Source organism: Homo sapiens, chromosome X, assembly GCF_000001405.40.
Source record: "Homo sapiens chromosome X, GRCh38.p14 Primary Assembly".
Taxonomy (NCBI): domain Eukaryota; kingdom Metazoa; phylum Chordata; class Mammalia; order Primates; family Hominidae; genus Homo; species Homo sapiens.
The window spans coordinates 154,348,531-154,375,228 of NC_000023.11; the positions used below are offsets into that span (position 1 = coordinate 154,348,531).

Genomic DNA, 26,698 nt, shown 5'->3' on the forward strand with positions numbered 1-26,698 from the left:
GAATGGAAGCAAAACTTTATTCCTCTTGGCTGGAGAAGAGAACTAGTGGGTGGTTGTGTACAGGACCCCCATCCCTCACCCCTCCCAGAACCAAAGAAGACAAGCAGCGCCACCAAATGGCTCCCTCTGCCCAAGTGAAAGCCGAGAGGTCAGCGGCTGGCTGGGGAGGCAGGTGAGCGCAGCACGGCACAGGGCAGGGGCGGCTGCAGTGACAGGCGGGCGGCCAGGGCGGCCTGGGCCGGGGTTGAGGGGAAGAGGGCGGGGCTGCTTGGGTAGCGGGGCAGGCTTGGGGGCTGCCGGCTGGCACGGGCCCCAGACTCAGGGCACCACAACGCGGTAGGGGCTGCCTGGGATGTGCTCGTCCCCCCATTTGACCACCAGTGTGTACTCCCCCTTGTCCTTGAGCAGGTAGGACACGCTGTAGAGCCGGCTGCCCACGTGCTTCACCAGGATCTCCTCGCAGGGGGTCCTTGGGCCATGAACCCCCACCAGCAGCATGTTGTTGCCTGAGGCAAGAGGGGTCCTCAGTCCCAGGTCCCAGCCCCCTTCCTCCCGCTGGTGTCCTGCTCTCCTCTCCTGTCCCTAAGCCAGTTCTGGGGTGACAGTTCTCTCTTCCTAAAGAGCTGCCAGCACCTCCCCAACCCAGGCCAGCTTAGCAGATTCCAGCTCCTCCCTGGTCTTTGTTTGAGGGGTCCAGGAGGTGGCAGGGAGGTGGCTCTAGAAGTGAAAGCCACGCCCCAAAGGCGGTCCCTGCTCTCCCAGACACTGGCCATCCTGTGATTTCTGGCCTCATTTTGGTGGGAAGGTGGGCCGGGGGCCCAGGTTGCCCACCTGCTTTGCTGCAGTCTACTGTGAAGCTGCTCTTCTGGCCTACGTAGGCCTTGCTCAGCCCCAGGCCCTTGGCCACCACCTTGCTGGCGTCAGCAGGCCCAGGACCCGGGGCCCCATGCTGGGGGGCACAGGTGGCCTTGGTCAGAGAGTCTACAAACACTGATGATGTCTCGTGGAGGCTGTGGTTGCTGACGAGACGGGGGCCTGCAAGGCAGAGTGGGTGGGGCTAAGAGGTGGCTGTGGTGCCGGGCGTTGGGCAGATGCCAATAGCTTGGCCCCAGGCTCACCTGTGACTTTGGCCTTGAAGGGGCTGCCCCCAATGTGGTAGGGGCCGCCGTACTTGATGGAGATGAGGTAGCTGCCAGGTGCCATGGGGGTATAGGTGACGCGGTAGCCCTCAGGGCACTCCTGGCAATCCATCTTCACCTTGGAGGGGCCGTCAATGGTCACCGACAGGGCACCAGCTCCCGCATTGCTCGTGTTCACGACGAACTCAGCTGGGTTCCCTGGGAGCACAGGAGGTCAGGCAGAGCCAGACTGGCCTGCCTCCCTGTCCTCGGCCACCCAGCACAGGCTTGTCACCTCCAGGTGCCTCCTGTTGTCACCAAGAGCTTGGAGGCAAGGGCCTAGCAGCTGTGTGCACACGTGCAGCCGCACCGACAGACTTACCTGTGACACCGCCTTCCAGACCTGCTCCGTAAGCAGACACCAAGCCTGGGTCCCCTCCATGCCCAGGCTCCCCAACTCGGATCTTGAAGGGGCTTCCAGGGATGTGGGTGCCGTTGAACTTGACGTCAATCAGGTAAACGCCATTCTCCCGAGGGATGAAGCGCACAGCATACTTATCTGAGGAGCAGGGAGTCATGCTGTGGGCCTGGGGCCCCTCCTCAAACCAGCAGATGGTGTCTGTGAGGAACAGCCTCAACCCTGGCCCTCCCCATTTTGCCGGTCCATCAGTGTGAGCCCAGCCACGCTGGGCACCTGCACCCCGCAGCAGACCTCCTGAGGGCCGAAGGTTTAGACACTCAAGCTGCCCACCGTCAGGGTGCATTGGGACGGAAATCTTTTACAAGCCAAACCCAGGCCTTGCTGCCTCCTAAGAAAGGTTACCGTGAACACCATATCCCCTGCATGTTAACAGGCTCAGAGACGGGCAGGAACTTGCTTCAGGTCATGCAGCTGGGAAGGGCAGGACTAGGCCGTGAAATGAAGCCCACTGGGCTCCTCCTACCCACAAGGCTGCCCCAGGCCTGTGCACAAGTACCATGGCCGTGGCTGAAGGGCCGGGCAGCACTGAGGCTGGACTTTGAGTCTTTCCCTGTGGAGATGGCATGGTACTGCAGGGTAGAAGGCCTTCCTAATAGCTGTGGGTGGCGAGCCACATCCCCAGCGGCTTGGGTCACCAATTGGGAAAGGGTTGCCTGGCTTAGGGGGCCCAGGAGTTGGGGCCCCGTCTTGGCTGCTTACAGAAGCGGTACCTTCCTTTTGTACTCTCAGCCTGCTTCCAGCCAGCAGGGCAGGGCGGCCGGGCAGGGACAGGGCCTCACCTTGGTCAATTTCTGTGACATAGCACTCCTCCAGGGCTCCTGAGGGGCTGTGCACCTTGGCATCGATCGCCCCCTTGGCCCCGTTCAGGCTGACTGCAAAAGAGGCTGGCTGGTTGACCTTTAGCCCTGACTCCTGGAAGCACAGCAGACATGGTTAGATGGGGGTGCTTGAGCCAGGGCAAGGGAGGACGGAAAGGCCCCAGGAGCAAGAGGCCCGCGGGTCGCACTTACCCATCTGGCGTCCAACTTGGTTTAAAGAGGGAGAGCCACTGATTTGCAAGGGGCAGCAAGCCACAGGCGCACATCCCCGCCCCTGCCCCCACACTCTGCCGTCGCACACACCCAGGTGGCAGGAAGGGAGGGCTGCCCCACCCTGTGGGCAGCACCCAGCCTTGGCAGGCTGTCCCTCTTTAAACCGCAGCCCTGGTGCTCAAGGGGCACAGGCTTCTGTTCAAAGCCTTTAGACCTGAGACACGAGAAAAACTCCACGTGGTGGGCAGGATATTTCCTGCCGACCCCAAGCGTGGGCTGCACCCGGCCAGAGCAGAGGCCTGGAACCCAGAGCTGGGCCAGGGGGGTCACTGAACACAGGGCCAAGGCCTGGTCTCTGCGGTGGCTCTGGTCTGTCCGGGCCCAGGAGCCCCAGGTGGGCGGTTTCTCTCGGTGCCTCACCTGAAGGCTAGAAACAGTGAGGCGGCGGGCGTCGCCAGACGGAGAAGCCACAGGCACCACGAAGGGGCTGTCGGGAATGTGTTCCTCGTTGAACTTGACTGAGACTTCGTAGTCACCTGGGCAGGGAAAGAGTGTAAGACCGGCTCATCAGCCTTTGGGCCTCCCACCTCCCACGAACAGCCTGGGTGGCCCTGTGACCTCAAAGTGAAGAGTGAGTGCCAGGCAGGGCTATCTGTGCCAGCCCTGGGTCCAATACCCACACTCAGGCCCCACCTCCTCCAACCCCAGCCGGGTTCCCAGTACCTGGCTCCTGGACCACATAAGCCACACCACAGGAGCCGTCCTTGCGGTCCTCAAAAGAGATCTCAGCCTTGCTGGGGCCCTCGACAGCAATGGCCAGGCCTCCAGCACCAGCTTCCCGGGTCCAGATACTGAATTCGGCTGTGGGAGAACAGTTTGTCCTCACTGAAGGCTGCTTCACCAGCCTCGGCCCCCTCCAGGCATAGCCAAGGTAGACATGCCTGCCGGCTCTTTCCTCCACCCCCAACCCCACCCTGGCCAACGCAGGAGAGCGAGCACTCGGGGTGTGAGCAGGCCTACCTGGCACTCCAGCTTCAGCTCTCTCCAGGCCAGGGCCCCCAGCTCGGACCTTGTGGGCTCCCCCTTCCCCTAGGGGCCCCACGGTGAACTGGAAGGGGCTCCCAGGCACGTGCTGGCCCTTGTACTTCACGCTGACTGTGTGTGTGCCCATCTCAGCGGGAACAAAGCGGATGCAGTAGGTGTGGTTCTCCCCTTCCACGATCTCGGCCTCATGGGTCTTGCCCGATGGGCTGGTCACCTGGGCTGTCATATCCTGGATGCTAATTTCTGCAGGGTGGGGATGGGCTAGTGAGCAGCAGCCCTGGGCTCCACCCCTCCTCTTGGGGCTGCTTGAGCCCCAGGACCCCTCCCCAGGCTTCCCACAGCCCCTACCAGGGATTTTCAGGCTGAGGTCACAATGACTACCAACGTTGGCCACTGAAGGAGCCCGACGCCTGCGGGTGATGCTCTCTTTCACCCGGCCCTCGCCTGTCACCTTCACAGAGAAGGGGCTGCCTGCAGGAAGAAAGCACGGCCCACGCCCCTCCAGTCACATACTGCCTGTGGGCCCTGGTGTAGTGAGGGGGGCTGCCGAGGCACTGCTGCACTCACCAGGCACGTGCTGGTCGGCAAACTTGATGTTGATGATGTAGTTGCCTGGCTCTGTGGGGCAGTAGGTGACCCTGCACGTCCCGTCCTCCAGGTCCTCTGTGTTGATGTCCACCTTGCTGGGGCCCTCAATGGACAGGCTGAGCCCACCATAGCCTAGGGGATGGATACCCCTGAGCCTCGGTGCTATGCACAGTGCTCCCGCCCCAGCTGGTGGGCAGCCACTGCCTACCTGCATCGCGGGTATCAATGATAAACTCTGCAGGCTCAAAGGTGTGGCCTTCGTGAAGGCCCTGACCAGAGACCCGAACACGACTGGCATCCCCAATTTCCGACTGGCTGATCACCACCGGGATGGGGCTGCTGGCCACGTGCTGGCCATTTTTCTTCACATGCACCAGGTGCTCCCCCGTCTCCTTGGGCACGAATGAAATCCCTGGACACAGGGCATGGCTGTCAGTCAGGGAGGGCATGGCTCCCCACAGGCTGCCTCCTTTCTGAACCCCCTGGACCCTTCAGCCGCTTACCCACGTGGCCATTACGCAGCCGCTTCAGCAAACAGGGCTCCTCCCGGCCCGAGGGCGGGACCACAGTGGCCGTCAGCAGGCTGAGATCCGTCTCTGAGATGTTGATGGGGATGTCGGCAGCAGAGCCGACCTTTAGGTGGGACATACGCATGGAGTCGTCACCTGGTGGGGACAGGCCAGCCATCAGTGTGCGTCCAGCCATGGGAGACCATGCCCACCCTGCCACCCGTTTCTGTCACTGCTCCCAGTGCCACCCACCTGTGACCCGAGCAGTGAAGGGGCTGCCTGGGACGTGCTGTTCATTGTACTTGACTAGAATGCTGTAGTCCCCCGGCAGCACAGGCAGGTAGGACACGCTGCATGTCCCATCCTGGTTGTCAGTGCAGCTGATTTCTGCTTTGGACGGGCCCTCAATGGCCAGAGACAGGCCCCCTGGAGAGAGCCGTGGGTGAGCATGGGAACTATGCTGGGGACACTCCAGTTGGCCTGCACTGAGGAGCTCCGATGGCCAGGGCAGCAGGGCAGGGAGCCCCATTCAGGAGTATCTCCTGAGTCCAGCCCTTACCCCGGTGAGGGCATCCCGGGCACAGAGCAGGTCAAGACCAGAGCTATTGCTCACCCTCTCCTGCATCCTTGGTGTTGACGGTGAAGGTGGCAGGCTTGTTCACTACTCCATGGGTGAGGCCAGGCCCATAGGCAGTGACATGGCCACAGTTGACGTAATCCACATAGAACTGCAAGGGGCTTCCTGAGGCAGGAAGAAGGGCCTTGTGGAATGGCAGCCTCGTGTGTCCCCCAGCCCCATCTCTCTGTGAGGTGGTGGCGGTGGAGTGGGCAGAGGCAGGGCAGGCCCACCTGGGATGTGCATGTTGTCATAGCGGATGTCCATCTCGTGCAGGCCAGCCTCGCTGGGTGCATACCGCACGGTCACGGTGCCGTCTTTGTTGTCAGTGATGGTGGGCTGCGCCACCTTGCCTGAGGGCATCCGAACCTCCCCTGTGGGGCAGTGGGGCTGAGGTCAGGGCAGCTCATTGGCACAGTCTGGCCTCCTTGGCTCCCGAGCTCCTTCCCAAGTCCCCACTCACCTGTGATCTCGCCCTTCTTGATGGTGAAGGGGATGACAAGGTCAAAGGGCCTCAGGCTGGTCACATCCAGCCCATTGACACCCACCAGGGGCCTCTCCGGGGCCTGCAGTGGAGACACAGGGCATGGGTGAGGGACAGTGGGAGGATCTGGGGTCCCTCCTCACACATGGTAAACTAGGGGCTCACAGAACACCCAGCTGGCTAGCCCCAGTGTCCCTAGCTGGCCAGGCCGTACCCAAGTCTGCTGGCCGCCCTGGGCGTAGGTGTACTGTGGGGCCAGCTGCTGAGACCGTAGAGGGGGCTGCACCGAGGGCTGGTCCCCAGCCAGAGCCTGCAGGGCAAAGCAGAGAGCTGCTGGAGAGTCTGTTGTCACAGAGGGGCCCCAGGGGAACAGGCCGGGACCTGCCAGACACCCCTGCTGACCTACCCCCCACCCCTCCTCACCGTCACTTGGAAGGGGCTGTTGGGCACGTGCTCGCCACCAAAGCGCACACAGATGACGTATTTGCCCGGCTGGGGGGCCGTGTAGAAGATGTCGAAAGTGCCGTCCTCATTCTCCACCACGTCCACATCCACCTCTGAGCCATCAGGCGTGCACACGGTGCACGTCACTTTGCCTTTGCCTGCCGCCTTAGTGTCCACAGTGATCACCGTCTCCTCCCCAATCTGAATGGTGGGGCCGATGCCAGCACCTGGTGGGGCAGGGTGGGTCCCCAAAGGGGGGCCAGCGTGTGAGCTCGGGTTCAGGTTGTTCCCGTCCGCCTGCCGCCCACACAGGCCTCTCATTGCCACCACCAAGCACAGCCAGGCCGCCAGGCCTCCTGCCCCGCCCTGCCCCTCCAAGCTGGGATGGCGAGTGGTTTCTCAGAAGGCAGGAAGGTTTCTCCTGACCACCTCAAGTGCCCATGTGGGAGAGGCCCGACAGTAGCACCCAGGTGCCTGGGAGGAAAAGGAAGGGCCCACTCCAGCCTAAGTGTTGACAGCCACTCCCTTGCCTACTCAGCCTCGTCCAGCACCATGGCCCACACTGCTGAACGCCAGCATCTGGCTGGGCACACGGCTGCCTGCGCCCTTCTGGCCTGGCCCCGGCCCCCATTGCTGTGTGTGGACGCGGTGAGGCGGAGTCCTGCTGCAGCGTGGGGGGATGTGACACTTGCCTCCCCACCCCCCAGGCCTGATGGTGAAACCGGAGTTTCCTGACAACTGAGAAGGCTCGCGGTGAAAAGCAGCCCGGTGCAGACAGGAGTGGGAGCGGGGAAGCGGGAGGCAGCGGGGTTAGCACCCGAGTAGCGCAGCGCAGCAGGCTTGGCAGAGCGGGGATAGCACCCAGGGAGACAGGGAACAGGAGGCCCAAGCTACAGCCACCACTGCTGGGTTGCGAGGGCAGAGCAGCTGAGCAGGCTCCAGGGCCCCAGAGTGCCCGAGGAAAGGGGAGAGACAGTGACGTTATGATCTGGGTCTCCGCCGTGGAGGCTTGGGGGGCTGTGGGCTGTGAGGCCTGGCAGTGAGAGTGCCCCCTGCAGCCTGGCCTCCTGCCAGGGAAGCAGCCAGGAGCACGAAACCTACTTGAAGGCCAAGCTCGAGGGGCCCTGCCACCAAGTCCCACTATCGGCCGAGGGCTCCTGCTGCACTAGGCTCCATGCTGGCCTGCCGCGGCCAGGCAGCTCTCCCAGGCTCCAGACCTGGCTGCCGGCTGCCCACGCTGCCCTGGGAGGCTTCACTCATGTGCACCCCATGCCATCTAGTTAGTGGCTTGGGCCCCAACCTCACAGGTACCCGACTGCCCCCACTTTCCCTGCCCGGCTCCCAGCCAACCGCAGGTCTCAGCCACTCCATCCTCAAAGTATGCCTCCTAATTTGGCTCTCACTGAAGCCCCGTGGCCGTCAAGCTTGCCAGAGAGCAACTTCAGCGCCCCCTTCCCCACCCCGGGCTCCCTGTCTCCATTCTGCAAACAGTAGCCAGGGAAACTGAGGTTACTGAGTCTTGCTCCCACCCTCAAAGCCCCCAAGGCCCTGCAATCAGTACTCCCCAGCCTCCCCCGCCCTGCGCACACACGCCTGTCACACACACATCGGATCCTACGGCCTGCTCTATAAAGCCATCTCGCTCCTGCCGCAAAACTCTAGCCACCCTCTCACCCTTTCCTTAGCCACCTCGCCCAAGTGCCAGGCCTGTAGCCTCTCATCAGCATCCCTGGGTGTCCCTGGCTGGGGCAGGTGACCCTCCATGCCTGTTGGGGAATGTCTGAATAACGTCACTGCTGGGGGATAGGGGAAGGGGGAAGGAGGGAGACGGGCCACAGAATGCACTTTGGGGCTCTGAGGCTGGGCCGGGCCCCGCCATGCTGGCCGCCCAAGCAGTCGACACTGGCGCTACTGCACTACCAGCCAGCCCCACCCGCTCATGCACCTCCCCCGGCCCGGGACGCAGAGGCCCCTGGAAGGTGGGGATGGGGGTCTGTGGATCTGGCCAGGGCTGGGGCTCCCATTGAGTTGGGGAGACCCCTTGTTCCCTCAGCCCACGCAGGAGCCCTTGTGCCTCCCTGGGTGCCAAGATCCCGAGACCCCAAAGTCCCCAGTGGGGTGCCTCTCAGGATGCACCTCACCCCAAAGCTCTCAGCTGCAACCCGAGTTCTCAGATGGGGAAATAAAGGCCCAGAGAGGGGAAGAGCTGGAGCGGTCATGCTCAGCTCCGGAAGCCTCCCTGGGCCCTCGCCCTCCAGCCCACGGCCTCATCTTCTGCACCCCACCCAACTCTGTCCCTGCCTAGAGCTGCAGCTGGAACTGTCCTGGGAATCGGCCCCAAGAGGAAAGGAAGCTGCCCCTCTGGGCAGGAGGGGCATTGGGAGTGGCCCCAGCAAGCAGCTTACCTAGCCCGTGACCTCCGATTGACACTGAGGTGAGAGGGCAGAGAGCAAGGAGAAAGGTCAGGTGAGTCACTCAAGGGGGCGGCCCCCACTCCCACACGCCGCCCCAAGCAGCGAGCCCTTGCACACAGGCACAACCCAAGCCCCGTGCCGAGCGCCGCAGCGGCCAACAGCGGGCGGGCTCACCTGTGACAGTGCACTTGCTGGCGTCCCCGGTGGGCACGGCACGCACGCGGTACGGGGAGAAGGGGATCTCGTCACCACCGTACTTGATGAGGATGGTGTAGCGACCTGTCACGTCTGGCACGTAGGCCACTGTATACGTGCCGTCATGGTTGTCTTGGATGTGTGTCTTCTTCGGCTTGCCTTCGGGATCCTGTGTGGCAGAGGCAGGGGAGGCAGTTGGCCCAAGCCCGAGTAGCCCCGGGCCTGCCTCAGGCGCTCCCAGAGTGCCCAGCGCTGCTGCTACAGGGACAGTCTCTGGGCCTCAGGCATCTTAACTGCTATGGCCCAAAAGGGCTGCCTGCACCTGGCAGAGTCCAGAATGGAGACTAAAACATCCCACACTTCCCACATGACAACAGGCGCGGCCAGCCAGCTTGGCACCCATCCTCAGCCCCAGGGCCTGGCCAGCACTAGGAGGAGCTCACCGGGGTGATCTCAAGCTTCTATCCTATACCTGCCCCATGAGAATATTACAGGTGGGGAAACTGAGGCACAGAAGGCTTTGGTGACGTGCTCAAAGTTAGCAGCAAGTGCACGTCTGGGGAAGCCTGTGCCTGTCACCACCATCCTAAGGTAGTCACAACCTTAGCAAACCAAAGACAGGGGCCCTGTCCTTCCCTGCCCTCCTTGGTGCAGCTCCGCAGGGAGATCAGACACCAGCCACCCGCAGCCCACACTCCAGCCGCCCAGGCCCCCCTGCCTCCCCTGCCTGTGCCCGGAGCTCACCGTGATCTGGACAGCCAGCAGGCCCTCCCCGGCGTCCTTTGCATCGATGGTGAACTCCACGGGCAGGCTGGCAGGCACGCCAGTGGTGTTGAGCCCGGGGCCACTGGCCTTCACCTTGCTGGCATCATGAGTAGGCAGCACCTTGACCTTGAAGGGGCTGTGAGGGATTGGTGTTGTGAGCAGTCAGACAGGTTCTCAGCATCCAGCCTGGGCCACTCCCCACAGGCAGCAGGCCCTGCCTCTTACCTCCGGGGTACCTCTTCATCTCCATACAGTACTGAGATGCTGTAGGGCCCTTCTCGGCTGGGCACATAATTGACGGTCTGGGTGCCATCAGCGTTGTCTACCACGTCCACTGGCTCCACCAGGCCTGGCCCCAGCCCCAGGGACAGAGCATCAGCTAGTCTCCTGGGCCTCCATTCCTACCCCACCACACTGGACGGCCAGGACCCAGCCCCAGGCCTAGACCTCGCTTTATCCTCATCCACCCGACCCTGGGAATGGCCTTGACCCCCTCTGGCACGAAAGACACCCATCTGGGTGCCAGCTGGGACCCTTGCCTGCCTGCCTTCCTGCCACATCTGCTCAGTGACCAGTCCCATCTGCTCTACCTCCTCCAAGTCCCCCACCTGGCTGCACTGTCACCTGAGGCTCTTCCAAAAACACCTACACACTTGCACCACCTCTGCACTCTGGTCCTCACTTTGGGCCTCCAGTTTCCTTTCCCGGCCCTCAAACAGGACACTGCCCTCCTGACCCCTGGCTCCAGGCATGCAAACACTCACCTTTGGGCCCTTGCACTTTGACCTGCAATGGGGCCACACCAGCCTTGCTTGTGTCCACCTGGAAGGACTGAGGGAGGTTGGCACGAACCATGCCTGGGCTCAGGCCGGGCCCAGAGCACTTGACCTTGGACGCATCTGTCACATCATGCACAGGGACCTTGAAAGGACTGCCTGAGGGTTGGGGCAAAGGGATGGCGGCTGTATGAGACAGGGTGGGGACGAGCAGACAGTCCCAGCCCTGCCCTGGCCGCCACCTCCTCACCTGGCACTTGATGGCCACCATAGGTGACGTTGAGGCTGTAGGTGCCAGCCTCATAAGGGATGTACTCGACCGAGCAGCTGCCGTCCTTGTTATCCATGCAGGACATCTTGGCCTCGGAGGGGCCCTCTACAGCCAGGCCCAGGCCGCCCGTGCCAGCTCCCCTGGTCCAAACAGACAGCCGGTCATTCCTGGGGTTCCCAGGCCCACCAGCCACACGGGCTCCTGGGGGCTCCCTTACCTGGTCTCCACAGTGAACTTGTTGGGCTTGTTGGTGGTGCCACTTTGGATGCCTGGCCCGTGGACACGCACCCGGGAGGGGTCGCAGCCCTCGGTCACGGGCACCTGGAAGGGGCTGCTGGGCACGGGACTGCCGTCATAGGTCACGTCCACGGAGTGCAGTCCTGGAGGAGTGCAGGCCAGGTCAGGAGGAGCCCGGGCCACCCCACCCACCCCGTCTGCCAGCCTGTGGGAGTCCCCAGCACGCACCCTCCTCGTAAGGCGTGTACTCCACTTTGTACATGCCATCGCCACGGTCCTGAACGTAGGTCTCCGTCAGGTTGCCTGAGGGGTTGGCCACACGGGCCTTGACGTGCGGCCCTCCGGTCTGTGTCAGAGCCCGGGCGTCCACACTGAACTCAGTGGTGGCCTCACGGAAGACACCTGCAAAGGCACAGAGAGGAGGCTTGGGGCTCGGGGGTTCTGGTCCCTGTCCCCCGTCACATACCCCACGGCAGGGCAACTCACCCTGGCCCTCAATACCAGGCCCATAGCACTGGACACCGGAAGTGTCCACCGCAGGTTCCACCTGCAGCTTGCTGGGGAAGTTGGGCACGGGCTGGCCGCCGTACTTGATGGTGACGGTGTAGGCCCCGGGGCAGAGGGGAATGTAGGTAATGGTGTGCGTGCCATCACCGTGGTCCTGGATGTACACCTCGGCCGGAAGCCCCGCCTCCGAGCAGATCTCAATGGTCAGCTCCGCGCTGCCCGCGCTCGAGCAGTCCACTTGGAATTGGCCCACCTCCCCAGCGGTGGCCCGCTCCAGCCCGGGGCCTGAGCACTTGACTTTGGATGCGTCAAAGCAGGGAACCACGTGGGCCTTGAATGGGGAGCCAGGGATGTGGGTGTCAGCGAAGAGGATGTTGATGTTGTAGTCCCCGGGCTCGGTGGGCACGTAGGACACGGAACATGTGCCATCCCCATTGTCCAAGCACTCGAGCTGCGCCTCACAGGGGCCCTCCACCGTCAGGCCCAGGCCACCTGTGCCGGCGCCCTTGGTGTCGATGGTGAAGCGGGCGGGGGAGCCCGCACTGCCTCCCTGCAGCCCCGGCCCAAACGCCTTCACCTGAGGGAAGAAGGGGTCAGGAGCCAAGGCCACACTATGCCCCGATCCCAGACCTCCTGCTTGACTTTCCACCTGCCTCCCCTTGCCCTGGCTTCCTGCCCTCACCAAACAGGGACACGGGCGGGCCCAGGCTGCCTGCCAGATGGGCCATCCATCAGTCATAAGGACAAAAAGGAGGGCAGGGCGCGGTCACTCACGCCTGTAATCTCAGCCCTTTGGGAGGCCAAGGTGGGTGGATCACCTGAGGTCAGGAGTTTGAGAACAGCCTGGCCAACATGGTGAAATCTCGTCTCTACTAAAATTACCAAAATTAGCTGGGCATGGTGGCGGGCACCTGTAATCCCAGCTACTTGGGAGGCTGAGGCAGGAGTATTGCTTGAAGCCAGGAGGCGGAGGGTGCCGTGAGCCAATATCGCGCCACTGCACTCCAGCCTGGGCGACAGAGTGAGACTCTTTCTCAAAAAAAAAAAAAAAAAAAAAAAAAAAAAAAAAGAAAGAAAAAAAAAAAAAAGAAATTCTTCAACCCTGATGACTTTTTGTGGGTTTCTATTTCCCTCCTCCCCTTTACTCTCACTTAAACAGGGTCAAGGTTGACAGTCTGTCTCAGGAAAAAAAAAAAAAAAAAAGGATTTAGGGCAGGTCTGGAGAAGATGGGGTACCTTTGGGGCCCTCAGAGAGCACAGTGGGTTCTACCCTTAGGGCCTCCCATACCCCAATTACCTTGCTAGGCTTGGTGGGGGCCACAGCTTCCAGAGGAAAGGGGCTGCCAGGCACGGGCACGCCGTCATAGGTCACCTCCACCTCATAGGGCCCTTCCTCACGGGGCAGGAAGCGCACCACACTGTTGTCAGCCCCCAGGCCTGGCTCCACCTTGCAGGGCACCGCTGCACCCGAGGGGCCCACAATCTTGGATGCCACTTTGCCTTGACCACCAGCACCCTTTGATTTGACTGTGAACTCCTGGTCTTTGCCAACGTCCACCTCTGTGGAAACGATGAAAGGAAGGAGAGAGACATGACACCCAGCTCAGCCAATCCCTGGATGTGACAAAGGCCTTTGCGACAAGGGCCCCAACTACTTACTCTCTCCCAGGCCAGACACCTTGATCTTGCTGAGGTCCAGGCTTGGAGATACTGCCACTGAGAAAGGGCTCTTAGGGATGGGATCCCCTCCATAAGTGACATTGACGCCTACTGGACCCTGGGAAGGGTGCAGAAGGGAAGGGGGTATTTAGAGACACCAGAATTGCTCCCCAACCCCCTCCTGGACCTCCATGCCTGTCCTCTCCCAGGTAAGGAATGAGAGTGGGCAGAAAGTCCCTCGGAGCTGTCCCCTAGGCTGCTGCATGAGGAGGCTGGGGACTCGGTGACTGTAGTGGAGGGTGTGGCTACCTGCTGGACAGGCGTGTACTTGACTGTGTAGGTGTTGTCATGGTGGTCGATGATGTCCACATCTCGCACTGCATCCCCCTTGGTGAGTCCTGAGAACTGGACGTCCAGCTTGCCTTTGCCAGCAGCTTTGGCATTTACTGTGAAGTGGGTGGGCTTGCCAAGCTCGACACCTGAGGAACACACAGGGACCATGTAGGGGCACCCTGCCCCAAGCCCTCCTACCCTTGATGCCCCGCAACCTGCCATGGGGTACCTGTCCTCACCAGTGCGACTGAGGCCAGGGCCCTCGGCCTTCACCTTACTGGCGTCATGAGAGGGCTCCACCTTGACTCGGATGGGGCTGGTGGGCGTGGCCTGCAGGCAGTGGGAGGAGAAGGCCTTAGAGGAGGGCAGACGTCATCCGCAATGACATCTTAGCGGCCAGGAGCGCAGCACCCACCTGGTCAGCAAAGAGGACCATAATGGTGTAGCTGCCAGCCCCCCGGGGCGTGTACTTGACCGTGAAGGTGTCATTGTCATTGCGGATGATGTCGAAGTCGATGTCAGCTTCGGCGGGGCCTACCACTCCAGGGGCACACTTGATGCCGATGCTGACGTCCCCTGCGGCGGGGAGAGGAGCGGAGGCTGAGACCTCGCAGGGACACCCCAGCCACCTGCCCTCCCACCCACAGCCAGGCCTTACCCTGGCCAGCCTCGGCGCAGTCCACAGTGAAGTAGGTGGGCTCGTGGGCCTTGAGCCCTGTCTTGGCTACTCCGGGGCCGTATACTTTGACCTTGTTGGGGTGGCTGCCAGCTCCCACATTCACCTGCAGGGCACAGGGGCAAGGGCAAGGGCATGAGCAGCCTGGAGGAGACTCAGAAGCTCCCTCAGCTACACTGGCAGGCACACAAAATGGTCCAGCTGCCTTGGGAAGAGTCTGGCAGTTCCTCAGTTGACCACAGAGGGACTGTGTGATGCTCCGGTTCACTCCGAGGCAACTACCCAAGAGAAATGAAAGCAAATGTCCACGCAAACACCTGGACTCACTGTTAACAGCACTGTTCATGATCACCAAAGGCAAGCTCATCCTCAATATCTGTTAGCAAGTGAACGGAAAAATGGAATGTGGTCTGGCCACACAATGGAGTATTATGCGGCCATAAAAATAAATGAAGCGGCCGGACGTGGTGGCTCATGCCTGTAATCCCAGCACTTTGGAAGGCCAAGGTGGGCGGACCACCTGGGGTCAGGCGGTTGAGACCAGTCTGACCAACATGGAGAAACCCCGTCTCTACTAAAAATACAAAATTAGCTGGGAATGGTGGCGTATGCCTGCAATCCCAGCTACTCAGGAGGCTGAGGCAGGAGAGAATTGCTTGAATCTGGCAGGCAGAGGTTGCAGTGAGCTGAGATCACGTCATTGCACTCCAGCCTGGCAATAAGAGCAAAACTCCGGCTCAAAAAAAAAAAACCAGGATGGGCGCGGTGGCTCATGCCTGTCATCCCAGCACTTTGGGAGGCCGAGGTGGGCAGATCACAAGGTCAGGAGATCGACACCATCCTGGCTAACACAGTGAAACCTTGTCTCTACTAAAAATACAAAAAATTAGCCGGGGGGGTGGCGGGCGCCTGTAGTCCCAGCTACCCGGGAGGCTGAGGCAAGACAATGGTGTGAACCTGGGAGAAAGAGCCTGCAGTGAGCCGAGATCGCGCCATTGCACTCCAGCCTGGGCGACAGTGTGAGACTCCATCTCAAATAAATAAATAAATAAACAAAATAATTATAAAGGAACAAAGTGCCAAGACATGCCAAACATGAACGAAAACACGGAAAACTTCGTGGTGAGCGAAAGAAGCCAGACACAAAAGGCCACATGGCACACAGTTCCATCTATAGAACATGTCCAGGATAGGCAAAGCCACAGCAGAAAGCAGGTTAGTGGTCACCAGGAGCTGTGGGACAGGGGAGTCAGGATGGTGTGCCACAACCACTTGAAATGGACGAATCGTGTGCTACGTGAATGCTATCGAGATGGACTAAAGGCCGGTGGAGGTTGGCTCACCCTGAAGGGGCTGTTGGGGATGCTGACGCCTCCCCAGGACACCATGGCTGTGTGCTTCACCGGCTTCCTGGGCACGTAGGAGCAGCTGTAAGTGCCATTGCCGTTGTCCTTGACCAACGCCTCCACAGGGCAGCCTTCATTGTCCTGTCAGGCAGATAGGAGCAGGTGGCCTGCTGGTCAGTGCCCAGGCCTGGGTGCCCACACCTGCCCTGCCCCCAACACCCGTGGGTGCTCTACCTGGACTTGGACCCGAAGTGGGGCCTTGCCACCGTGCTTGGCATCCACTGTGAACTCTGCTGGCTTGTTGACGGCCACACCTGTCTTCTCCAATCCAGGCCCACGTGCCTTCACCTAGCGGGAGACCACCCAGCTGTCAGGGGGCCAGGTCCAGGCTGCCAGAGCTACAACCCAGGCAGGGTGGCCAGGGACACAGAGTGCCATCCCCACCAGACCCCAAGCAGGAGCAGCAGGGCGAGACTTAGGCCATCACAGCCTGCTCTTTACCCTGTCTGGGTGGAAGTCCTGGGGCGCGTCACGGATGTCAGCCATGAAGGGGCTGAGGCGGATGTCTTCGCTGTTGCACAGCACGTGAACGGCATACTCGCCAGCCTCCTGCGGCCAGTAGCGCACATCACAGGAGCCGTCGCCCTTGTCGTCACATTCGATCTTAGCCTGCGATGGCCCTTCCACCGAGAAGCCTGACAACAGCCACCAGTCCCCTCAGTGCCCTGGAGCCTCAGGGTGGGCCGTCCTTGCCATCGTCTGTCCCCAGGTGCCCATGCTGCAGCCTCCAACTTACCCAGCGTGCCCACGTCGTCCCCGATAGCCTCCACCACAAAGTCTGCTGACTTGCCAACGACGCCGCCCTCCAGCCCAGGGCCCCAGGCCCGTACCTTCTGATTGCCACACTCGGTGCCCACCTTCACTTCGAAGGGACTGCAAATGCGAGAGCCACACAGGGAACACCGAGGATCACCACATGAGCCAGCGTGGGCCCCACTGTGGCGGCCAGGCAGGAAGAGCCCATGTGGCCCCTCATCATCAGGTGGGGAGGCAGAAGGAAGAGAAGAGGCAGAGTGTGCAGAGCTGGGAGAGGGATGCCTGGGGGCCTCACCTGCGCCCGATGTTCTGACCACCCCACGTGATGGTGACGATATAGGTTCCAGGGACCATGGGGTAATACTCGAAGCCATACACGCCATCCCCCAGGTCCTTCTGCTTCACGCGCTCCTCTCCCTCTGCCAAGACAAGGAGGGCCTCAGGCCTGCCCAGCAGTGAACCCGGGGGCTGCCGCCACCCATCCTGGCCTGGCTCCAGGCCAACTTACTGGGGCCCTTCACGGTGACCTTCAGCTCCCCACTGCCAGCGCCCTTTGTGTACACCTTGAAGTCAGCTGTCTCCTTCACCCGCACACCCTTGGGCTGGAGGCCCCGGCCAACCGCCCGGCAGGCACTCGGGTTACAGGCTGCAGGCAGAGGGGCCAGCTGAGCACCAGCAGCTCGGCTGGGCGACCCCTCCCTTGCCTCCCACAGGGCCGGGCTGTCAGGATTGGTGGGTCCCTCAGAGCTTGGCTGGAGGGGGACATGCAAGACAGAACTGGAAGGGACTGTGACCCCAGGAACTGTGGCCTGGGCCAGGACATGGCAGGCCTCCTCCCACCTGCTCCACACCAGCCCAGAGCCCCCCACCCTCCCCCTTCCAAGAAGAAGACAGATCCAAGTACCGTTGACCCTGTGGGCAGAGCAGAGAGCAGCAGGTTTCTAGACAGCTGGAGCGAGCTCTTCCGAAGGTGAAAGCGTGAGGAGAGAGATGGAGAGGGGCGAGGAGAGGAGAGGAGGAAGGGCCCCAGCAGGGGAGGAAAAACAGCATGTGCCCAGACAGTAGAAGCTCAAAGAGTAGGGGCCCCGGGGCGGGCTGCAGCGGGACTGGCCCAGGGGGTCCCCCTCCTGTGGGAGGCCCAGACTGCAGTGCCACAGCAGAGGGCAGTCAGGGCCGGGCCTACCTTGGCCAACAGTGACAGTGTAGGGGCTGCGAGGGATGGGCACGCCGGCAAACGTGACGTGCACGGTGTGGACGCCCTCCATGGTGGGCTGGTAGCTGCAGCGGTATGTGCTGTCGCCCCGGGCCTCCAGCTGAGGCTCTACCGTGCCCTTCTGTCCCATGGGGTCCTGGATCACAACCTCGACCTCGCCCGTGCCAGCTCCTGCCACGAGGCACCTGCTCAGCTCCCAGGCCCCAGTGCGGCTCTCCCCACAGACCAGCTGGGCCTTGGCAGCCTCCCCTCACCTGCCGTAAAGATCTCAAAGTAGGTGGTCTTGTTGGCGATGTTGCCACTGGGCTCCAGGCCGGGACCTTGGGCTGTCACTTTGCTGGCGTCACCCTGTGACTTATCCACGTACACCTCGAAGGGGCTCTTGGCGATGTGCTGGCCAGCAAAGAGCACAGTAACCTGTCCCCAGAAGGGTGGGCCGTGAGGGTAGGGCTGGGGGCCTCCAGCCACTGCCTGAGGTCACAAGCCTCCCCCCTGGCCAAGGGCTCACCTTATGAGTCCCCGTCACCTCGGGGACGTACCAGACGGAGAAGGTGCGGTTCTTGTCGTTATTGGCGGTCACTTTTGCCTGCAGTGGGAAGGAGCCTGTGAGCCTTTGCTAAGAGCAGCCCCACTGAAAGGGAGCGCTGCGGGGCCTCTGCTGCCAGCAGCTGGCCCTACCTCCTCCTGGTGTCCGGCCGGGTCCTCCACGTACACCAGCACCTCTCCCTGGCCAGCACTTCTGGTCTCCACAGTGAACTCTGCCCGCTTCTTCACCATGTTGCCTGTGGGCTCGATGCCTGGCAGGGGAAGGCGAGCCAACCACGGGCCAGCTGTTAAGGCCACAGCCTCACCCCTCCACCCTTCAGCCCTCCCTGCTGGCCCCTAAGTCAGGCACATTCCAAACTGGGCAAGTTCATTCAGTGTGAGCTGTGGCACAGAGCCTGGCCTCGGGACCCAGCTGTGCTCTCGCTGCTGGGACAGGCCCAGCCTGTTTTCTGGAACATTCATTCTCACCGCACTGGGCCCTTGTTCCTGTGTGAGCCTTGACTGGGTTTTAGGTCCCTGTTACTGAGACCTGGTTCATCTCCATTTATAATAAAGACCGCTGGATGCTACCTCCCCGAGGACCCCACGCAGCAGGCTTCTGTGACTGGAGGAACCTATTAGCATTCTCTTGTCGTTTTCACTAGTCCCAAAAACCCACTCTTGTCTGACTCTTGGGTGGCTTGATCACCTAGCCGCCATGTAACCCAAGACCCCTGGGGACCGCCACGTTTAGATGGGACACTGTCTTATGGGGAAGACGTTGGCACACGGGTGCACCCCTGGTGGGGCTCCCTCACCTGGCCCGTAGGCACGGGCTTTCTTCGGGTTCAGTTTGGGCCGCAAGGGAGCCCCTGGCTTCAGCTTGGCCTTGGGGAACTGGGACAGGTAGGTCATGACAGAGTGCTCGTCCACGTTGGGGTCCACAATCTCCTCGGGGGTGATCACCTGTCACAGGCAGAAAACAGGAGCCATCGGGCCTCCGAGTCTCTCCCAACTGCCGATCCGGTCCCCTACAGCTGTAGCCAGGCCGGGCGGGTGTACCTGGGGGATGCCCAGCCAGTCATCCGCCTGCTGCATGGCCTCTCGCGCATTGGTAACGGGCTTGCTGGCGTCCCAAGAGTCCCAGTCAGGACACAGGCCTGTGGCGCAAGGGAGGCTGTGAGTCTGGGGGCCGCAGAACCCCCTCAAGGGCCACCCATGGGTGACCCCAGCCCAGTCTCTCCTGCCTCTGCGCCCCCTCACCCGGGGCACAGCTGTCCACCAGGGCGCCCAGGGCCCGGCCGCTCTGCCAGTCCCGGCTGAAGTTGGTGATGGGCAGCTGCGGCAGCTTGTTCTGGATCCAGCCCAGGAGCCTCTGCTTGGGGGTCTGCTTCTTGGCCTCCTCATCCTCCTCCTCGTCCCACATGGGCATGGAGATGGAGTAGTGCAGGATCAGGGTCCAGATGAGGCCCAGGATCAGCTTCAGGTTCCCGTCCACGATGGCCTTGCTGTCTGTGAGTAGAAGAGTGGCCACGCTGGGCACACGGCTGTGCGGGAGGGGCCGATCCCAGGCTTTGGGGTCAGGGTCTGGCAGCACGGGGTAGCAGGGGCCAAGGAGGAGGTAGACACCCCCTCTTGGCCAGTGGTAGGATGTGGATGAGGCCCTCTCTGCCCAGGGTCCCAGGGGGTGTTCAGAGGTGAAGGAGACTTTGGGGTGAGGGCAGATACACACAGACACACACACACGATGCCAGCAGGGTATGATTACTGCCAGAAGCCCTGGGCCCAGAGGAAGGGCAGAGGGCAGACCCAGCCTGCAGATGGGCAGCTCTGGAGAACAGCTGGACAGTGTCCACAGCTGCCAGAGCAGGGGTCCGCCACACACCTCAGGGGCCTATGGGGAACCAGGAGGAGGAGGCTGACTCCAGCTGGCCCAGAATCCAGGGCCCATGACCTGGAGTGGGGCTGGGGCTGAGGAAGAGGAAGGTGGGTGGCCCTGGGTGGTTGGGAAATACAACTGTTGTTCCAGGGTGGGTGGGGTGAGGCAGGGGAAGTGGGGGAGTTGGGCAAACGCCCTTTGGGTGAGGGATTGTGACCCCCGCCACCACCCCCACTTCCTCTACCACCTCGAAGACTCAAGCTTGGAGTTGGGAGGCCACAGGCCTAGCCAGGGGAGGGGCCCAGAGCCCAAAGGAACCAGCAGTTGGGCCACATGGCCCTGACTCACTGGGGCCCATCGGGAGATGCCGGGGTGGCAGCAGGAGACACTGGGAACCCCCTTGCCACCCACTGCCTGACCCACTTGCCACCTAACGGGCCTCTGGGCCTCGGCAGGCTCGCCACAGGGGAAGTGGTTAGGGCGGGTCCCTGACACCCCCCATCACCATGGCAACCCTGCTGGGCTCTGGGCCCCACCCAAGGCTACTTCTGGGTCTCAGGCTCAAGGCAGGATGGCTCATCTTTAGAAGCCCTGTCAGCCTCCCCCATAATCAGACAAAATACTTCTCTGGTGAGTCAACTAGGGGGCGGGCCTATGAGGAGGGGCTGGGCTGTCCATGGCAGCTGCTTCCCAGCCCAGCAGGCAGCACCTGGAGGGCCAGGTGAGCCGCTCAGAGTGGCCTCCCCAGTTCCCAGGTTGGTCCTGGCCCCACGAGGCTGCCTTTCACTCTCCCCAAATGGCAGCAGGGAGGGGGACTCGGAGAGGACCAAGGGTGCAGGGCCAGGGAACAAGGCCAGCCAGGGCTTCCCATCAGGCCCCCACCCCAGTCCAGCCTCAGACCCCTCAACGACCCCCACACGGGGAGCAACCAGGCCCACCAGGTCCATGTTAGGCCAGCCTACTCCGTCCCCATCCCCCTCCCAAAAGAGAGAGGGAAGGACCAGGGCCCAGGGCTGGGAGACTGTCTGGCTGGATGGCCCCGCCCCATCCCACCCCCCTTTCCCCAGCCCCTGGGCCAGCCAACCCCTCCCTCCCCTAATCACTGCTGCTTTCCAACATTTTTTTGCCTTATATGGCAAAGCTCTGGGAACTAGGCCTGCTCCAGCCAGCTCACAAGGAGGAGGGGAGCTGGGAGGAGGGAGGAGACCCCCCCTAAAGAGCTGGGGTGTGGCCCGCCTCCCCACATCCGGTCGCCCCCCCTACCATCCAGGACTGAGATGACTCAGCTTGGCTAGACTGAGGCTGGGACTTGTGGGGGTGGGCCTGCCCCTCGCCTCAACTGGCATTCCAAAGAAAGAACTTTGGTTCTTGGGATCTGCCCTCTGAGTGGCTGGGGGAACCCAAGTCTTGGTCCCTCACTTTCTTGGGTTCAGCAAGGGCCATTCCAGGGCTGCAGGGTAACTGGAAGGCCTCTCAATTCTGAAGAAGAGAAGACTCATCATCCCTCTCCTCTCCCTGTTCCACATCACCCCCGAGTCACCCATTCTGGGGCCTGCCCTCTCATGCAGCCCCTATCTTGAGAACGAATTGGGCTGCTGCAGCAGGCCTGGTCAATGCCAGCCTCTCCAGTCCAGTGACACAGACACTGGGCTGGCACAATGCACGCTGGAGCATCTACCAACCAACTCCTGCGTGCTACACGCAGAAAAGCAAGGCCTACATGGAAGCAAGAGTTTGGCCCAAGATGAAGAGAAAAGTTGGCGTCCAAGTAGTCTACAAGCCAGGTCTCTCAGTCAACCACGCCCAACTCACCCCGGGTGCAGTTTTGCTAACTATGCTTCTTTCTGGCCCCCAGGTTGCCTGTGTGTGTGTGGGGGGGTAGATCTAAACTGGTGGTTGGAGCCATCTCCGATGGGCGACCCATCCTCCAGGGACACAAAGAGCCCAGAGCCCCAGACAATGGGACGCACGAGCTCCAACCCACACTTCAGAACCAACGGGCCTCTGAAGGCCAGAGGGCCCTCTCTAAACAGCTGTGGGGGGAGAGCCCGGGCCTCCTCCTCCTCGGGGACGGGGCGCAGGGCCAGGAGCCTGCCCAGTGCCCGACCCCCCAGGCCCACTCCCACCGCGAGCACAGCCGCGGAGGCGCGGCCTGCGGAGGATGTGAGTTCAGCCTGGGCGCCGGCCAGCCGGGGCGCAGCGGGCGGGGGCGCGTAGCGGTTCGCACGCCCGGCCGGCCAGCCAGCCAGCCCGCGCGCCTTTGTTCTGCAGGCCCGCGTGGAGCAGAGCAGCCGGAGGCCTCGGGAGTTGCGCTGCGGCCCGGAAGGGGGTGGTTTGGAGGGGTCCGCCCGGGGAGATGGAAGGACGCACGGAGTCCCCGCCCCCGCCCGCCCGGCGCTTCGGGGCGTCCCTCACCGATGGACACCAGTTTGATGCTCTCGCGGTCCAGGAACTCGAGCGCCACCGACACGTTCTCAAGCTGCATTTGGCGGAAAGTGGGCCGCTGGTTGTGCTTGCGGTGCATCTTCTTCTGGCTGAGCACCTCCAACAGCGCGATAAGCCGCAGCCCGTCGCTCAGGTCCGTCTGCAGGTTGGCGATGCGCTTGCTCACGCACTTCAGGTGCTCGTTGCACCAGCGCGTGAAAGTGTTCTGCTGGATCTTCTTCCACGGCGCGTCCTCCGCCAGGTCCTTCTCGGTGGCCGGCATCTCGGCGTCCCGCGTGTCGACGCCGCCGCCCGGAGCCGCGCCTGCTGCGCTCTGGCCCGCCCGAGAGTGGGAGCTACTCATTTTGAGGCGCGAGAAGCCGGGGGGGCGGTGCTGCAGCCTCGGCGAGGGGACGGCCCTTTAATTAAAGTCGCAGGCACCTAGGCGCGCGGGAGGCGAGGCAGGGAGCAGAGGTTGCGCTGCGGAGAGAGCGAGCCCTTTAAATGCGGGAGGAGGGCGGGGCCAGAGGGCGGGCCTCCTGCGGGGAGGGGCCGTGGGGTGGGGCTTCGAGGGCGCGCCTGCCCCACCCCGCCCCGCCCGTTGGAATGCCCCCACTAGGCCCCCGGGTTCGGCTGATCAGACGCGAAACCCGGGCTCCAGGGTGGGTCGCTGGGCAGTGGGGTGGGCAAGGATGCTCCCAGCCCCGCAGCCTCGCGTTGGCGCTGCAGGAAACGCGCCCTAGAGCGAGGAAAGGCTGAGCAGTGTCTGGCGCGGGACTGCTTGGCCTGCAGCCGGCGCGCCTTACAAGGGACTTTCCTTCCCCAGGGCCCCTGCGGGGGGTGGGGTGGCTCTCTTCCCTAAGTCACTTGGGCTCTGCCCCGTCCCTGCACATCCCTACCCCCCGCCGTCATCCCCCTTCCCCGGGCCCCCAGGGCCTAGGGTTCCCCGGCGGCATCCCCGTCCGCCGGCCCGGCAGCGGCGGGAAGGGGCCAACCCTAAGAGCGAACCCCTGGAGAGCGGCAGCCCCGGACCAGGCACTGCCGAGGGCGCTTTGTGTGCTCATCACCTGGGAAGCGGCTGCAGGGCAAGGCCTGCGCCTACGCGGTCCCCGCAGACCCCCTGCCACGGGCCCGCCTTCCCAGTCCGTAGGGCCCTCGCCCGCGCACCTGTGCCCGCTGCTTCCCACCGCCTCCCTCTCTGCTTCCCTCCACCCGGGAGGATATGGGGCACTGGGCCAGGAGGCCGCCGGCACTCCAGGAGCAAGCAGCCTTCGAAGGGGTCCGGGCATGCCCACGGGCACGCCAGTGGGCGCGGGCAGAGGGCGCCGTGCGATGCATGCAGAGACGTGTGCCCGCCTAACCCTTCATGCCAGTTCACCCGGGGCACTGGGGGGAGCTGAAGCGGGGGGTCCTCTCCTGTCGGAAAGTCCCCTCAGCCCAGCGTGGCCAGGGCAGGGGGCAAACACGGGAGTGGCATTCCAGACCCAGAGGGGCCTGCTCAGAGGTTCCCATAAGACTTGTCAGGCTCTGAGCACCTGGGTCTGGGTGGGCTTCAGGTGTGGTGGCAGGTGCAGAGGAGGCCTGAGGACAGGGATCAGGGGCCTGGGGGGTTGTGTCCCCAGAGCTGTGGGGGCTCTTCACTCAAAATTTTCTGGTAGATAACTCTGGAGATGGTGCAGTGGCTGCTGTGCCGAGATGTAGACTGGGACCAGGGGACGGCTGGGGACGCTCACTGCTACTATCTTCAGTCAGAAGCCAGCCTGCCTATGGCTTCCTCCCCATTGTGCACTCCCCTCCCTCTCAGTCCTCGGTACCTCCCCTCTCCAGAATGTTTCCTCCTCTGAGTGTTTTTTTTTTTTTTCTAGGAAGGCAGGTATCTGTCCCTCCTGTTCAATTCTAGTAATAATTAATTTATCTGCTAAAGACCAGTGAGAGATGGAGGCCCTGGGTTGGCCAGCACGTCATGCCCAAATATGGTTGACTCTCCTGTAGCCCTGGGTGTCTACATGACACGTGGTGGGGCTGTGATCCGCCCAGCACATTCACTTCGGGGCAGCCTGTGGCCCCACTGGTTTTTCCCACTAGTAGTGGTGTTAGGGGGTGCAAATGGCATTTTCCAGTACTGAGGCCAACCCCTGTATATTGTCCCCTCTCCTGACCACTTTGAGACACACCTGCACCAAGTGCGCCTGGGCGTCTGGGAGCTGGGGTGGAGGTGGGAGGGAGGGCTGGGAAGGGGGAACCCATACAGACCCCTCCCTGCACGGGCCCCATTCAAGACGGGCTTGAAGTTGTCCTTCTGGTCCCCCTGCCCCACTGGAAAGCAAGTTCCCAGGCACGGAATTCCATCAATAATTGACTCTCTCTCCACTAAGGGCCATTGAGCTGGGTTGTCTGGGTTCATTCCTTAATCTTCAGAGCTCAGGGAAACTGAGTCAGAGTGACCAGTGGTCAATTCCAGCAGAAAGAGTGTCAGGAGGTGGGTGCCGTGTCTTCCAGCCCTAGCTTTTCCCTATTTAGAGGAAACAAGGAATGGGCGTGTAGAGGGTTCTTGTCCCTAGAACATAGTATCAACCGCCAGATGTCGCCCGATCCCAAAGCCACCAGATCGGGCAGTCCTGGGAAGCCAAAATCCAGCTCTTTCATATTTTCCCTTATTTGGAGTAGATTCTTGGATGTTAGGCACACCCCGCCCACCACACCACCCCTGGCCCTCAGACCCCAGGCCAGACCCTCCCACTGGGAGGTATAGCCCAAGCCCAGGAGCTGTTCAGCTGGGATCCCTAAGGAGCTGTTTCCAGGCCTGCGTAGCCAGGGGGCGCAGGAGGGAAGGAAGCCGCAGACTGGCAAGGTGAGAAGAGACCTGTGCTGGCAAGTCCAGGTGCGGCAGGTGAGGTCGCCCATTCCCAAGCTCCCACCTTGACGGTGCACTCGGAGCACTTACAAATGGGTCTGCCAGTGGATTTTAACCTATTTTGCCTGGCCCCAGGTGGCACGGGAATCTGGGGACATTGTTGGTTATATCCTGGCTGGCAGTGCGCATCCAACTCAGAGCCAACCTGGCATAGGGCCCAGGGCCCAACCAAGGAACCTGGCCTGGTCTCATCCTCACCATGGCCCCCATGGAGTAGAGCAGCCCCAGAACCAGCTCCCCTGTGCCCAAAGCAGCTGGTGCCCTGTGGACTCGAGCCAGCAAGGGACACGCTGTCCCCCTCCCAGTGGGCACACTGGCTGAGAAGTGTCCTTCCAGGTGGCCACTCGCCCTGAGTCCACACAAGTTCCTGGTGTCAGGGCCCTTCTCTCTCAGGCATGCAGTGGTCCGTTCATGGGCAAGTGCCCAGACACCCTCTCTCTCTCGGGGACCCCCCATGGCCTCAGGCTCCCACATTCGTGGGCACAGACATGGCTCGTGGGTCAACTAGGGAAGCTATTCTCTGGACACTCACTCCCAGATGCCAGGGGAGCCTCCATCGGCTCACGCATCCCAGCTGAACCTGGCCCGGACCTGGGCGCGAGCTGGCGCCTGCGTTTTCCGGCCTCTCTGCCCGCCTTCTCCAACCCCGCCCCCGGCCGACGAGGAGCGCGGCGACCCTACGGCGCGAAGCCGGGCCGCGGAGACCTCACCTGCTGTTCCTGAGAGCGACCGGTGACCGATGACCGCGGGGTGGCGCCCGGATCGCCTTCGCGCCCGCGCCCGCGCCAGGCGCCTCGGGGATTCTGTCGGCGTCCGCTGCGCGCGACGCGCCTCCACGCGAATGGGCCGCCGCCGCCCGCCTTCTTGTTGGCCGCACCCCCGCCCCGCGCCCGCCCCGCGCCCGGCCCGGCCCGGCGAGAAAGCCTTAATTGGTAAAATTGCCCAGGAGCCCGGGACGGGTGCGTGGGGGGCGGGGGTGCGGGGGCACGCCGTGAGCTCCAGCGACCCGCCGCCGGGCGACGCCGCCCCCCGAGATGAGCTCACCGCCGGCGAGGGCCGCCAGGCCCTGGGGGAGGGAGGGCTTCGTGGGGGAGTCGCCTCCAGCGCCCACAGGGACTGCAGGGCTCGTGTCTAGGCCCAATCACAAGGATCCTGCGTGTCTGAGTCTGGGGGAGCCAAGCGCACCCCAGGTGGAAAGGCCGAGGCCCAAGGCCACCTTCTCCAAGGAGCCACCCACAGTCACAGCCCCTGGTGTCTGTCCCAAGCCGGGATTGTTTCCTGGGGTGGGGGCAACAGGTCGTTGCAGGTGTTGGCTGGGCGCCTACGTCAGGCAGGGCCCCGGGACGGGACTGCAGGGCTCCGAGCCCTGGGATGAACCTGACTGCCATGGATCAGGCGCTGCCAGGTCTGGCCTGGGGTGGGCAGCAGAAACA

At 62.5% G+C, this 26,698-nt stretch overlaps 1 protein-coding gene across 2 annotated transcripts, besides 20 other annotated features; it reads right to left on the reverse strand.

Annotated features, from left to right (window-relative positions):
• Positions 1 to 1,042: part of a biological region, named in NCBI's record as "Xq28 proximal FLNA-EMD recombination region", that runs on past the window's edge. NCBI's record gives its function as "recombination_partner: LOC107988033".
• Positions 1 to 1,042: part of a meiotic recombination region, noted in NCBI's record as "meiotic double-strand break mapped by DNA meiotic recombinase 1 chromatin immunoprecipitation followed by single-stranded DNA enrichment and sequencing in the germ cells of some male individuals with the PRDM9 A/A and PRDM9 A/B genotypes", that runs on past the window's edge. NCBI's record gives the evidence for it as "EXISTENCE:chromatin immunoprecipitation-seq evidence [ECO:0000229][PMID:25395542]".
• Positions 1 to 26,104, reverse strand: FLNA (filamin A). Of its 2 annotated transcripts, NM_001110556.2 has the most exons (48): positions 25,976 to 26,104; positions 22,343 to 22,831; positions 19,312 to 19,560; positions 19,111 to 19,208; positions 18,867 to 19,014; positions 18,202 to 18,320; positions 18,032 to 18,109; positions 17,778 to 17,940; positions 17,494 to 17,694; positions 16,819 to 16,956; positions 16,606 to 16,729; positions 16,291 to 16,427; positions 15,996 to 16,189; positions 15,729 to 15,842; positions 15,492 to 15,635; positions 14,131 to 14,254; positions 13,888 to 14,048; positions 13,712 to 13,802; positions 13,449 to 13,618; positions 13,140 to 13,257; positions 12,778 to 13,040; positions 11,460 to 12,057; positions 11,202 to 11,375; positions 10,954 to 11,116; positions 10,716 to 10,876; positions 10,454 to 10,624; positions 9,915 to 10,038; positions 9,669 to 9,825; positions 8,904 to 9,093; positions 8,721 to 8,744; positions 6,295 to 6,542; positions 6,086 to 6,181; positions 5,851 to 5,953; positions 5,621 to 5,761; positions 5,385 to 5,513; positions 5,024 to 5,197; positions 4,766 to 4,927; positions 4,471 to 4,674; positions 4,242 to 4,394; positions 4,023 to 4,145; positions 3,651 to 3,917; positions 3,354 to 3,491; positions 3,051 to 3,166; positions 2,379 to 2,511; positions 1,501 to 1,677; positions 1,119 to 1,337; positions 832 to 1,035; positions 1 to 506 (listed from the first exon to the last, which is right to left on the reverse strand). In NM_001110556.2, exons 2-48 carry the CDS (start codon positions 22,713 to 22,715, stop codon positions 319 to 321), a joined length of 7,944 nt encoding a protein of 2,647 aa, NP_001104026.1. In that variant the 5' UTR covers positions 22,716 to 22,831; positions 25,976 to 26,104; the 3' UTR covers positions 1 to 318. The 2 variants fall into 2 exon arrangements, with proteins under 2 accessions (NP_001104026.1, NP_001447.2); NM_001456.4 differs by lacking the exon at positions 8,721 to 8,744.
• Positions 220 to 232: a nucleotide motif, noted in NCBI's record as "nucleotide motif; similarity to the predicted 13-mer PRDM9 A binding motif (LD hotspot motif), CCNCCNTNNCCNC".
• Positions 19,849 to 20,376: an enhancer, noted in NCBI's record as "H3K27ac-H3K4me1 hESC enhancer chrX:153596747-153597274 (GRCh37/hg19 assembly coordinates)". NCBI's record gives its function as "activates a minimal SCP1, AML or CMV promoter by ChIP-STARR-seq in primed H9 embryonic stem cells {active_cell/tissue: H9 hESC(primed)}" and the evidence as "EXISTENCE:reporter gene assay evidence [ECO:0000049][PMID:30033119]".
• Positions 20,316 to 20,455: an enhancer, noted in NCBI's record as "active region_30058". NCBI's record gives its function as "activates an Ori minimal core promoter by ATAC-STARR-seq in GM12878 lymphoblastoid cells {active_cell/tissue: GM12878}" and the evidence as "EXISTENCE:reporter gene assay evidence [ECO:0000049][PMID:35858748]".
• Positions 20,316 to 20,902: a biological region, named in NCBI's record as "H3K27ac hESC enhancer GRCh37_chrX:153597275-153597800".
• Positions 20,377 to 20,902: an enhancer, noted in NCBI's record as "H3K27ac hESC enhancer chrX:153597275-153597800 (GRCh37/hg19 assembly coordinates)". NCBI's record gives its function as "activates a minimal SCP1, AML or CMV promoter by ChIP-STARR-seq in primed H9 embryonic stem cells {active_cell/tissue: H9 hESC(primed)}" and the evidence as "EXISTENCE:reporter gene assay evidence [ECO:0000049][PMID:30033119]".
• Positions 20,896 to 20,975: a silencer, noted in NCBI's record as "silent region_21086". NCBI's record gives its function as "represses an Ori minimal core promoter by ATAC-STARR-seq in GM12878 lymphoblastoid cells {active_cell/tissue: GM12878}" and the evidence as "EXISTENCE:reporter gene assay evidence [ECO:0000049][PMID:35858748]".
• Positions 21,916 to 22,215: a silencer, noted in NCBI's record as "silent region_21087". NCBI's record gives its function as "represses an Ori minimal core promoter by ATAC-STARR-seq in GM12878 lymphoblastoid cells {active_cell/tissue: GM12878}" and the evidence as "EXISTENCE:reporter gene assay evidence [ECO:0000049][PMID:35858748]".
• Positions 22,485 to 23,010: an enhancer, noted in NCBI's record as "H3K27ac hESC enhancer chrX:153599383-153599908 (GRCh37/hg19 assembly coordinates)". NCBI's record gives its function as "activates a minimal SCP1, AML or CMV promoter by ChIP-STARR-seq in naive H9 embryonic stem cells {active_cell/tissue: H9 hESC(naive)}" and the evidence as "EXISTENCE:reporter gene assay evidence [ECO:0000049][PMID:30033119]".
• Positions 22,636 to 22,695: a silencer, noted in NCBI's record as "silent region_21088". NCBI's record gives its function as "represses an Ori minimal core promoter by ATAC-STARR-seq in GM12878 lymphoblastoid cells {active_cell/tissue: GM12878}" and the evidence as "EXISTENCE:reporter gene assay evidence [ECO:0000049][PMID:35858748]".
• Positions 22,786 to 22,835: a silencer, noted in NCBI's record as "silent region_21089". NCBI's record gives its function as "represses an Ori minimal core promoter by ATAC-STARR-seq in GM12878 lymphoblastoid cells {active_cell/tissue: GM12878}" and the evidence as "EXISTENCE:reporter gene assay evidence [ECO:0000049][PMID:35858748]".
• Positions 22,886 to 22,985: a silencer, noted in NCBI's record as "silent region_21090". NCBI's record gives its function as "represses an Ori minimal core promoter by ATAC-STARR-seq in GM12878 lymphoblastoid cells {active_cell/tissue: GM12878}" and the evidence as "EXISTENCE:reporter gene assay evidence [ECO:0000049][PMID:35858748]".
• Positions 23,016 to 23,657: an enhancer, noted in NCBI's record as "H3K27ac-H3K4me1 hESC enhancer chrX:153599914-153600555 (GRCh37/hg19 assembly coordinates)". NCBI's record gives its function as "activates a minimal SCP1, AML or CMV promoter by ChIP-STARR-seq in naive H9 embryonic stem cells {active_cell/tissue: H9 hESC(naive)}" and the evidence as "EXISTENCE:reporter gene assay evidence [ECO:0000049][PMID:30033119]".
• Positions 23,076 to 23,205: a silencer, noted in NCBI's record as "silent region_21091". NCBI's record gives its function as "represses an Ori minimal core promoter by ATAC-STARR-seq in GM12878 lymphoblastoid cells {active_cell/tissue: GM12878}" and the evidence as "EXISTENCE:reporter gene assay evidence [ECO:0000049][PMID:35858748]".
• Positions 23,216 to 23,435: a silencer, noted in NCBI's record as "silent region_21092". NCBI's record gives its function as "represses an Ori minimal core promoter by ATAC-STARR-seq in GM12878 lymphoblastoid cells {active_cell/tissue: GM12878}" and the evidence as "EXISTENCE:reporter gene assay evidence [ECO:0000049][PMID:35858748]".
• Positions 24,379 to 24,438: a silencer, noted in NCBI's record as "silent region_21093". NCBI's record gives its function as "represses an Ori minimal core promoter by ATAC-STARR-seq in GM12878 lymphoblastoid cells {active_cell/tissue: GM12878}" and the evidence as "EXISTENCE:reporter gene assay evidence [ECO:0000049][PMID:35858748]".
• Positions 24,842 to 24,891: an enhancer, noted in NCBI's record as "active region_30059". NCBI's record gives its function as "activates an Ori minimal core promoter by ATAC-STARR-seq in GM12878 lymphoblastoid cells {active_cell/tissue: GM12878}" and the evidence as "EXISTENCE:reporter gene assay evidence [ECO:0000049][PMID:35858748]".
• Positions 25,981 to 26,040: a silencer, noted in NCBI's record as "silent region_21094". NCBI's record gives its function as "represses an Ori minimal core promoter by ATAC-STARR-seq in GM12878 lymphoblastoid cells {active_cell/tissue: GM12878}" and the evidence as "EXISTENCE:reporter gene assay evidence [ECO:0000049][PMID:35858748]".
• Positions 26,051 to 26,190: a silencer, noted in NCBI's record as "silent region_21095". NCBI's record gives its function as "represses an Ori minimal core promoter by ATAC-STARR-seq in GM12878 lymphoblastoid cells {active_cell/tissue: GM12878}" and the evidence as "EXISTENCE:reporter gene assay evidence [ECO:0000049][PMID:35858748]".

Excerpts from the sequence above, each read along its gene's own strand:
- FLNA (NM_001110556.2), bottom strand. The coding sequence starts at position 22,715 with ATGAGTAGCTCCCACTCTCGGGCGGGCCAGAGCGCAGCAGGCGCGGCT. Across the intron at positions 15,636-15,728 it reads CACTTCGGGTCCAAGTCCAG|GACAATGAAGGCTGCCCTGT; the intron begins GTAGAGCACCCA and ends TCTGCCTGACAG. Across the intron at positions 11,117-11,201 it reads GTACACGCCTTACGAGGAGG|GACTGCACTCCGTGGACGTG; the intron begins GTGCGTGCTGGG and ends GCACTCCTCCAG.